This window comes from Homo sapiens, chromosome 2, assembly GCF_000001405.40.
Source record: "Homo sapiens chromosome 2, GRCh38.p14 Primary Assembly".
Taxonomy (NCBI): Eukaryota; Metazoa; Chordata; class Mammalia; order Primates; family Hominidae; genus Homo; species Homo sapiens.
Window position 1 is genome coordinate 127,671,972 of NC_000002.12, and position 10,630 is coordinate 127,682,601.

General features: G+C 56.5%; 1 protein-coding gene across 7 annotated transcripts in view; it reads right to left on the reverse strand.

Annotated features, from left to right (window-relative positions):
- The window catches only part of LIMS2 (LIM zinc finger domain containing 2), a 43,361-nt gene extending 33,546 nt beyond the window's left edge, over window positions 1–9,815 (reverse strand). For 4 of the 7 annotated variants that reach the window (XM_006712627.5, XM_005263710.3, XM_047444970.1 and 1 more), the window contains exon 1: window positions 3,043–3,559. In XM_006712627.5, coding sequence (XP_006712690.1) covers window positions 3,043–3,053 — 11 coding nt within the window. In that variant the 5' untranslated portion in view covers window positions 3,054–3,559. Of the gene's footprint in view, window positions 1–1,706; window positions 1,773–2,342; window positions 2,596–3,042; window positions 3,560–9,348 lie in introns of those variants that run through there. The other 3 variants (NM_001136037.4, XM_024452983.2, NM_001161404.2) reach the window with 3 other exon arrangements.

The following is a 10,630-nucleotide window of genomic DNA, read 5'->3' on the forward strand; positions in this document are numbered from 1 at the left end:
AGGAGGGGCAAGATTGGTGGATATGAGGGCAGGGATCTAGCAGCCTGCTCTGCGCTGTACTAAGCATGGGCTCAGCACACAATCAGGCATACGACAGCCTCACATGTGACACACATGACGGTCACACCATGGGTGGGACTCCACTTTATGCAGCCAAGCCACTGAGCTCACGTGGCCGTGGGTGTCAACATCCCAGGCTCCATTTCCAGGAATGCCAGGGACAGCTGGGTCCCTAGGTAGGTGGCCTTAATATCCTCCCTGTAGAACAATGGTGATGCCAGAGGTCCCTTCAGCTGTGATAGTCAAAGATCTTGTGGTTGTAAGTTGCAAAGTCCCTGAGTTGCTGCTGAGGCCGAGCCCCCTCTCTTCCCACGGCGTGCCACCCCATGCTCTGGGCTGCCTTCACTCCCTGCCCAGCTGGCTACTCCTGGGCTTCAGCCCCTCCATGCCCAGGTGCCTCCCACGGCTCCCCCTCAGACTTGCCACAGCTCTTCAAGCACTCCACAACCACACCAAGCATGCCATCCACCCCCACCTGTCATCACAGGAGGGGCATCCTCCCGAGCCCCACCCTCTGTGGCCCACCTCACAGCCAGTCAGTTGGGTCCTGTCCACTCCACCTCCCAGAACCCTGAGTCAGCCTCCTCTCCTCCACCCGCTCAGCCACCCAGGAGAGGCCTCCCTAGTGGCTGCCTTCTGTCTCCTTCCCCATCTCCTTCCCAGCAGCCCTTTCTCCACACAGCACCCATGGGTTCATCTGCAGACAGCATGGCCACACATGCCACTCCAGGTCACTTTGGTGGCTCCCCACAGCCCTCCCTCTGCTCTTGCCTGGTGAGGTCCTAGGGAGAGCTGGCAGGGAGAAGCCCTGAAGGTATGCGAGCAGAGAGGGTGTTTCCCAAAAGCAGCCTGGCTCTGGGCAGCATGGGGGATCCCGAGAGAACCAGGATCCAGGCACGAGGAGCTGCCCGGGATCACATGGGAACAGTGGACGTGGGGAAGGGCACCCAGCATGAAACGGTGGAAATGAAACTCCACTGCTTCTGGGACAGGAAAACTCTCGCCCACTCCGAAGGCCGGGTTGGATGTCTGTTCCTCACAGACTGGCCCGGCCCAATCCCTGTGTATGGAAGGCAGGGAAGCCAGTGGGGCACCAGCACTGCGGGCAGCAGGGTCACCTTTGAAGGAGCGGGTGCATTACACTCAGATCGCTCACAGCTGCGTCAAACAAACTCCAGGAGAAAGGACTGCGGGGAGCCACCGAACTGCATAAAGGGAGGCTCTTGGGAGTGGAACTGTGGCAGTTTCCTTCTCTTTATGTTTCTGTTATCTTTTATGTTTCCAGGTTTCTCCTTATTCTCTAAGACGAGTAGTATTGCCTGGACGAGGAACGCCCTACACAGTGCCTGCCAAAGGCTGACTGTCATCCCTGTGTCATTTGAGGGTAAGAGTTTCTCAGGCCCTTGGAGCCCACAGCAGCAAGGGAAGGCTGACCCCTGCTCGCCACCACCTGCCTTCCCAGCGGTTCCGGCCGGGCTCACCTGACGGCCTCCGTCTCCAGGGAAAGGCCCAAGGGACTCAGGGGCAAGAGGACCCTTGCCAGGGAGCAGTGGCACCTCGGGGCCTCCCATTCCAGCCCCGCACCCTTCACGGCTCTGTTCTCCTCGACATCCCTCCTGTGCCTGAAGGAACCGCCTCTCACCCACCTCCACCTCAATGCTGCTGCTGGGGCTGCTCCGGACCCTGTTCCTGTCTCTCCCCACTTTCTTTTCCTAGAAAACAGGAGAGTGAGAACCAGCCAGCTGGCAGGGATGCTCTGAGGAAAATGGGAGGCAGCCCCGCTAGAACCCTAGGGGGTGACCACAGGCAGCCAGTGGGCCTGCAGATGCCACTCTCCGGGGGATGAGTCCCTCCATCTCACTGCAGAGGGGCCTGGGCCAAGGCTTAGAGGTGACTCCAAGTCAGGGGAGCTAACTGGGAAGAGAGGCTTGGGGAGAAGAAAGGGAAGTGTGTCTGGAGGGCAGGACTTACAAAGTGACAAGTTACAGGCTATTTTTGGTTCCTGGGCTGCCCTGAGACCCCAGGCCACAGCCTTAATGGCGATCACAGAGGCAGCTCCCCTGTGGGCCTCGGATTTGAGACTGCAATCCTGGACACTGCCCTGTACCCTCCAAGCCCCTTTCCCCAGCAAAGCCACAGGTCACTCTCCGGGCTGGGGCTCCCCAAGAGCCCCAGGTCATGGGATCCTGAAGAACAGCATCCCCCTGCCAGGACTTGGCTGGGGGAGACCAGGGCCTCAGGGACAGCCCCCTCCCACCCAGTCCTGAGTCATGCACTTGTACCCAGCTAGGTTCCAGAAAGGGCTGCAGGGACAAACACTGGCCGGACACTGGTGGACCTGTGACTGGCCTCCTGAGTGGCTCAGCCTCTGTGGCCTCTGGTGACCTCATCTGTGAAATGGCAACGAGGGGCCTGAGAGCAGAGGGTGGGCCAGGCCCAGGGGAGCGCCCTGTCCCCAACCAACCCCTGCACAGCTGGTGCTTGGGCGCAGCTCTGGCCAAGTTCCAACATACCCTTCAACATTTTTAACATTTTTACCACCCCAGGTTTACAGAGGAGGAAACGGAAGGCTCCAGAGATGACACTCACCGGGATCGGGGATCGCACAGCGCGGGCTCGGGGAAGTTGGGGGAGGCACGCAACCTTTGAACCTTTTGCCCGTGGTTGGTGTCTGACCTTGGACAAGACCCCCTCCCGCAGCCCTGGGCGTCGGTTGTGAGCAGACGGCTGTCCCATCTTGCAGCGGGCGGGTGGGCAGGAGCTCCACCTTCCGCTGCAGGCGCTCGCCCAGAGGAAGAGGCGCGGGGGCTGGGGGACCCCTGCCCCGACGGGCGCTGCCGCCCCGGCAGCTGCGAGAATCCGACGCGCCAGGGCGGAGCGGGGATCGTGGCGCCGCGGGGCTGTACGAGGGCGAGCTGCGCCTCGGCCAGGGGTCCCGCAGTCCCGCCTCCCCGGCCCGGGGGCGTGGGTGGGGGCCGTTACCTTCCCGTCATGGTGGCAGCGACGCCGAGCCCTGGGTTGCCGGGGTTGCCGCGGGTCTCCCTCTGCTGCTGCAGCCGCCAGCCGAGCGCCCGCCCGCCAGCCCGGGCCGCGGAGCAGGGAGACGCCCAAAAAAGGCCAAGAGCCGCTCCGCCCGCGAGAGGGGTGGGCGGGGGTGGCAGGGTGGGGCCCGCGGGGCGGGGTGGGATGGGGAGGTCAAGGCTGAGGGTGGTGGGGGTGTTGGGGAGGTGACGGTGGGAGGTTGCGGGAGTATAGGTGGGGGTGGGGGTGGCAGGTGGGGGTGGCGGCGGGTAGGGTTGGAGGGGTGGGGGTTAAAGGTGGGGCTGACGGTGGGGTTGGAGGGGTGAGAGTGAGGCGGGGGTGGGAGTGGGGGTAAAAGTAGGGGTAAAGGTAGAGGGTGGGCCCCGCTCCCGCACAGCCCCAGCTCCAGGGACACGGAGCGCGGCCAGCGGCGGGCGCGGGTCAAGTCCTTCCCAACCCGGGCTCTGCTCGCCACCTCCTGGATTCCGGGCATAGCTTTCCTTTTAAAGGGAGTAAAGTTATAATAAACGCGAACAAGCACCCCCACCCCCACAGCCCCGCCGGGACGCCCCGCCCGGCGCCCCCTCTGCAGTCCCTGGGCCGCCCCAACCGCAAACGCGTGCAGGAGATGGTAGGCGTGGGGGCGATGCTGAGACCACCTCCCTCCCGGGCTTTCCTAGCCCGGAGTTCCCACCGCGGATCTGGGCACTGACTCCCTCCCGAGGCACCCGGGACCGCCGAGTCCACGCAGTCCCGCCCCCAGGGAGGCTAAAGCCGAGAGGCGTCCCTCTTCAGTCGCAAAGCTGCTTTCCCCGGGAAATTCCGATTTCATCCCCCGTTGCGGGCCATCGCCCTAACTTGGCGAAAGATATTTCTTAAACGACAAAACCAAATGCCCAGCTCCCAGGTTTCCAGGGGAACCAGGCACGCCTCTGTATAATGAAGCGCTGAGAAGCTACCATTAGAGGCGTTAAGATGGAGGGGTAATATAAACTATTTAGGGAATCTCTTCGGAGGAAATTTTCAAACAAACAAAACAAAAAACCCCCGCCCTGCCTAAAGGCAGATATTTCCAGCTGGACAGTGGCGTGCAGCTCATCTTTGGAAGCAGCCCAGATGTCACACTGAGGTTTGGGAGCTGGGCGGCCTGATGTGTAAATGTGGTGCTACTCCGGTCTTGGCAGCAGAGAAAGATGATCTAGAAATGACGGTGTGAATTAGCAACCCACAAATAAACTGGTGCCGTTCAGAAAGATGAGTTGATAGTATCCTGCAGTTCCACCTGCAGAAATAAGCTGGGAAAAGACACCTGTTCCTAAGTGGCTGGTATTGTGGAGTGCCTTTGCAGTTGTTACTTTTTTTTTTTTTTTTTTTTTGAGACGGAGTTTCGCTCTTATTGCCCAGGCTGGAGTGCAATGGTGCAATCTCCGCTCACTGCAACCTCCGCCTCCCAGGTTCAAGCGATTCTCCTGCCTCAGCCTCCCAAGTAGCTGGGATTACAAGCATATGCCACCACACCCAGCTAATTTTGTATTTTTGATAGAGATGGGTTTCACCATGTTGGTCAGGCTGGTTGCAAACTCCTGGCCTCAGGTGATCCGACTGTCTCGAGTTATTACTTCTTGTTGCGAGCGTGTCTCAGCTGATTCGGCTTAACTGTAATTTGATGGTTGATTAAGCTTAAGTATGGATAATTTCTTGGCTCACCTGCTCATACAGGGAGAAAGGCTTTCCACCATTACTGACACAGAGGTGTAGGCATGCTGGGGCCGTGCACCAGAAATCCACTGCTGGACGGTTAATTGAATATCAGGGTCTTGTGGGAACCAAAGAGGATGAAAAGTTGAAAGCATTACACCAGAGGCCCATGCTCTCCACAGAGGAGACCACATTCCTGCCTTTTAGCCCAAAAGCCTCCCTGCATATGATAGCTGAGCACACACGGATCTGTATGTGGCCAAACCAGGACCCTATGCAGCTCCCAGTGTGCCTCATCCCTGGGCCAGGGCAAGCTCAGTAACAGCTGGTAGGGGTTGTGGGCATGGCTTAGCCCTGCTGGAGATGCAGAGGCTTCAAGGAGCCAGGGCCAGCCTCCCACAGTTCAGCCAAGAGGGCAGAGTTGCAGGAAAGAGCTGGCAATCACACATTCACACACTTATCCACTTGTTCCTTCAAGAGTATTTATACCGCATGGGCACTGGAAGTACTAGGGGGAGAAAGAAGCCATGGACCAGGCTCTCATGGAGTTTAGCAGGAGGTGGAGGATGGGCAATAAACAAATAAATAAATACGCAAACTAGATTTTAGACAAGGGTAAGTGCTGCAAAGAAAAGGACAATGGTGGTGGCTGCTTTAGAGTGAAGGGTGAGGGAAAGTTTCTGAGCAGGTGACATTCAAGCTAAACCAGAATAAGGGAAAGAGCCAGCCCTCAGCCATCTGCAGGAAAAGCATTCCGGCAGAACAGCAAGTGCAACAGCCCTGAGGTGACATGAGCTTGGGGTACGCAAGGTCAGAAAGAAGACCAGTGGGTCTGGAAAAAGGGGAGGTGGCAGGTGGAGGGGCACGGGAAATAAAGGAGAGGGCCCAGGGCAGAGCAGCAGGGCCACAGCAGAAGTAGGATTCCACCCTTAGATGGAGAGTTCTAAGCAAAGACAGACACAACACTCTAGCATCAGCAGGGGTGAATCTCAGAAATACTGACTGAATGAAAAAAGAGCACCTTTTCCATCTATATCAAGTTCTAGAATAGGCAACATTTGTCTGTGGTAGAAAAAATCAGAACGGTGGCTGCCTCAGGCTGGTCTATTACACCCCGGACTGCCCTGAGGTGGCAGGACAGGGGTTGACTAGGAAGGAATGTGAGGGAGTTTCTGGGGTAACAGGCAATGTTTTAGTAGGAGTTTGGGTCACACAAGTGTATATGCCTTTGTTAAAACTCATGGAATATATGGCCAGGATTTGCACATTTCATTATATGTACATTTTACCTCAAAAGAAAAATACCGTAAACGATACTGAACTCCAGTTAATGACATACAATGCTGAAGTGTTTAGGTAGAAAGGTACTGATGTCTGCAACTTACTTTGAAATACATTGTTTAAATCAAGATGAGCCGATGTGGTGGATCCCCGTAGTCCCAGCTAGTCCTTAGCTACGGGGAGGCTGAGGAGGGAGGATCACTTGAGGCCAGGAATTCAAGACCAGCTTGGGCAACATAGCATGACTCTGCCTCTAAAAAATGAACTCAAGATGGGGAGATGGGTAAAGGGAAGGACAGAGAGGTGGTAACGTGAGTCTACGACGATATTAATGGGAGAATCTAGGTGGTGGGTATCTGGGTTTTCAACTTTGATGAGTGCTTGAACTTTTTCATAGCAAAAGGGGGAAGTGTCCCTAGCTGCTGTGTGGCCACTGTGTGAGGGACAGAGTGGTCTCAGGGACAGTCTGATTAGAGGCTATGGTGAGCGTCCAGGAGGGACTGGTGCCTTGGGCCGTGCGACAGTAGGGACATTGAGAAGGCATCAAACACAGGATCTATTTTGCAACCAACAGGATTTGCTGGGAATCTGGATGTGTGTGTGTGGCCGGCGTGGGCGTGGTCAGCACAGGTGTGGTGGTTGTGGGGCAGGTGTGTGTGTGGCAGGTGTGAATGTACAGCCGTGGGAGTCAAGAGGACTTGCAGGTGGCCTTGCTTTCCTAGATATTGGTGGCAGTGGGACAGTCTGGGCAGGTTAGCGAGGGGTGACGTTGCATTGGGCCCTCCCCAGGCATCCCAGGGGAGATGGTGGGCGGGGCACTGTGAACCTGGAGCAGGGAAGAGAGGTCCATTCTCCAGCGTAGATGCAGAAGGCTTGGTACAAATGGAATTTCAACTCTAGGGCTCCATGGAGACCCTGGGGTGTCTGTACCAGTCAGGAGCCCTCCAAGGGTAAGAGGTGGGACTGGCAGAAAGTGAGGGGGAGAGCAGGAGAGTGTGAGGTGCCACAGAAGCCCGGAGGGAAAGAGCTCCAGGGAGGAGGTGCGCCACTGCCCCGTGTGCACACTGCTGCGTGCAGAGGCCAGGGAAGCATCTGGGTTTGGGTCAAGAGCCGGTCCCTTGGAGTGAGGGGCCTGAGTCCAGCTGCAGAGGGGCAGGCAGGGCCCCTGCAATGCCTCCCCCAGGAGCACCCCTCCCTGGGGTCTGTGTAGATGGTGCTCCCCAGAGTGCTGCACACAGTGCCCCTGGGGGGAGAATGCTCTGAAAGGGGGGGCAGAGAAGAGACGGCAGTTGGAAGTGGGGAGGGGAAGGGGAGGGAAGGTGAGAATGCAGTGTCCATTCCCAGGTCTTATGGGATGGCATCACTGAGGGACATTCAGAGAGTGGCTTGAATCACACACTTAGTCTTCGCTGGGGGACAGTGGGGCTCTGAGGCTGAGGCTGGGCCACAGAGTGACATGACAGCTGTCCTAGAAGGTGAAGGAGGTGCAGCATCTCCCTGGGCACGAGCCTTCTGCCCTCTGGGGTTCAGGGCAGGTGGGCACCCCCTTTGCTGGGCAGGTACCCGAGTTTCTCCACCCCCCACCTTCTCCCTTCCCTACTCCAGGGGACAGCTACCTGAGACAGCCCAGGGCCCAACGCTCGTGGGAGCTGGGACCCAGGGCCAAGAGAGGGGCTGGGCTTGGTCAGCGTGGCTAATCAGCAGTAGGAGGCTGAGGAGAACCCGGGGTCTCAAAGTGCCTCAATGAGCCTCCGCCAATATCCAGAGCCACAGCCCTGTCCCCATGTGACCACAGGGAATGGAGAAGGCCTTGCAGCTCTCAGGAGGCCTCAGGGTCTCCTGCCACAGCCCAGGTCCTGGGGCAGGAGCTAGCATGCCTTCCCAACAGGTAGGCTGTTCATCCTGCCTGTTCCAAGAATGGCCCCGTGTGATGTGAGGCCACCCAGACGGCCACTCTACAAGGCCTGTGCCCCAAATCTGGTTAAGGCCTGTCCCTTTCAGGGCACTGGGAACTGGCAAAACACAGAGACCTGCCGAATATCAACACAAAGTTCAAAGCCTTCAGCCGCCTCCTGCGAGACCAAAGTTAACTTGGGAAGTGGCTGTGAGAACCCCCCGGGGGGGAGCGGGGAAGCACCTGCACAGCCGGAGCCCTCCCGGGCGGCTCCCTGGGCCAAAGGAAGAATAGTGAGCAGGACACCGCCCCTGGCACCCACAGGTTTCACAACACATTGAAAAGTAAATGTCTCTTTTTAAAACTAGGAGCATAAAACCAGCTGGGCACGATGGTGCATGCCTGTGGGCCTAGCTCTTCATGAGGCTGAGGTGGGAGGATCGCTTGAGCCCAGGATTTCGAGGTTACAGTGAGCTATGATTGTGTCACTGCACTCTAGCCTGGGCAGCAGAGCAATCTCCTGTCTTTTAAAAATAATCATAATAAATAAATAAAAATAAAAATATGAGCCTGCCCTCAGAACTGTCATTAGACACACCCTCTGACCAGCACAAAATGGCCTTACTTCTCCCTGTGCCACACGGCAGCTCAGTGAGAGAAGCTGGCGGAATGTCGATCCACAATTCTCTCAACATTTGCAGAACACACAAGAGACCCAGGGATTCTTTTCAGTCTGAGGGGAACACAGTGCCCTTCTTGAAAGTCTGATTTACTCAGGAGTAGAGGTGGACCATCGAGCTTCACAATTTTCCAAAGATGACCTGGCCTTGGAGTTCGGGAGGAAAAGGCCATCTCACTCTCGCCTTTGCTCTGGGACAGACTCCATTCATCTCATGGGTTTGGCTACCCGAGGGCAGCCCCCACCACATATCCAGGAATGCCACATTTTAACACCTCAACACATCATGCCGTCGAGTATCCAGCAAGAAGCCTCCTGGGCGCAGAGCTCCTCACCTGCGGGGCACCTGCCTCTCCCTGCCTCTGAGAGTATCTCTTCCACATACTGAGGGTCACTTTGCTTCTTTTTTCCCATTGTGACCTTCCCACTGGAGCTTGTTCCACTCTGTCCAGGGGAAAGAGCAGCTGCCCATCCCAAGCCCAGCCTATCCAAACGTGGCCTCGCCCGCAGAAGGCCCCGCGTGCGGCCACAGTGGGCTGAACCTTCACCGTCCCCATGCCGCCTGACGGAGGGCAGCCCCTCCAGGGCTGTTCCTTGACCCCAAATGAGCAACATTAGCACAACCACTCAGAGTACAGGGAATTGCAGGGGCAGCGCAGCGATTGGCAGGTGGAAAGGACCTCCCGGGGCCCTGTGCCCATCACAGAGTCTTTACCTCTGTGGCTGAGATGCCGCTCCGCCTCCTCGGGTGCTTCCTTCCCTGAGCGCCGCCAGCAACTTCTCTGAGGGAAATAGCAGCTGCCTGGCCCGCTTGGCACAGCCACGTGCAAGACTGAGCAGCCGCCAGGAGTGTCCGGCCACCACGGGGCACCCAGGCACGGCAGCTTCACCTCTCCCTGGGCAGGAGGCTTGGCCAGAGGTCCTTAGCTGGAGGCAGAGGCCGGAGGCACCTTGGGGTCAGGAGGAGACGGAAGAAGCCGCGGAAGGAAAGGCGGCCTCCCCAGGGAGGTGCTGCTCCGGGCCCAGAGCCAGGCCCACAAAACAAAAGGAGCAGCGGCTGCCCTCTGAATCCAGAGAGGCCGGCAGAGGGGCAGCCCCAAAATGAGCATTTCTCGAAGCCCTGAGCGCAGGAGCCCGGCCGAGTAGCCTGATGTTCACAGTATCCACGGACAGACTGCAAAAGAAGCCCCACAGTGAAAAGAATCCTGGCAACTAATTACGTGAACAACCCAAGAACAGCTACTAGGATGCTGTCTTGCCAAGTACTATTTTCCCTGAAAAGAGGAATATCTCAGGACTATTTATATTAAAATAACATAAATGAATTATTTTATAATTTTCTGCTATAAAACTTTCATTGTATTAGAAATGCCCAGAAGTAGAAAGAAGAAAAATCACCTCCAGAAGATGGGTACTGCAACACTTTGTTCACTTTTAACCATGTACATTTATTTTTTGCCTGATTGTGATCATTTTGTGGTTTGCAATCTTTCCTTTCCTTCCTTTCTTCCTTCCTTTCTTTTCTTTCCTTCTTTCTTTCTTTCTTTCTTCCTTTCTTTCTTTCTCTTTCTCTTTCTTTCTCTCTCTCTCTCTTTCCTTTTCTTTCTCCCTCTCGCTCTCCCTCTCTTTCTTTCTTTCTTTTTTTTTTTTTTTGAGACAGAGTCTTACTCTGTCACCCAGGCTGGAATGCAGTGGCAGGATCACAGCTTACTGCAGCCTTGACCTCCCAGGCTCAAGCCATCTTCTCGCCTTGGCTTCCCAAAGTGCTGGGGTGATGGGTGAGAGCCACTGGGCAGCACTGGCCTCTGTTTGCAATTTCATATCAGTTTCTTCATAAATAAATGGCAGCTGTCTGCCTCTGCATCGTATCAGTGCGCATCAGGGCTGCCCTGGGTCTTGTAGCTGAGAGGCACCACTCACAATGTGCTGTGCCCCAGGATCTCCCTGGTCTTGTGCTATTTGGAAGAAGGAGTGCTGGGATTTATGTAAACTGTGTA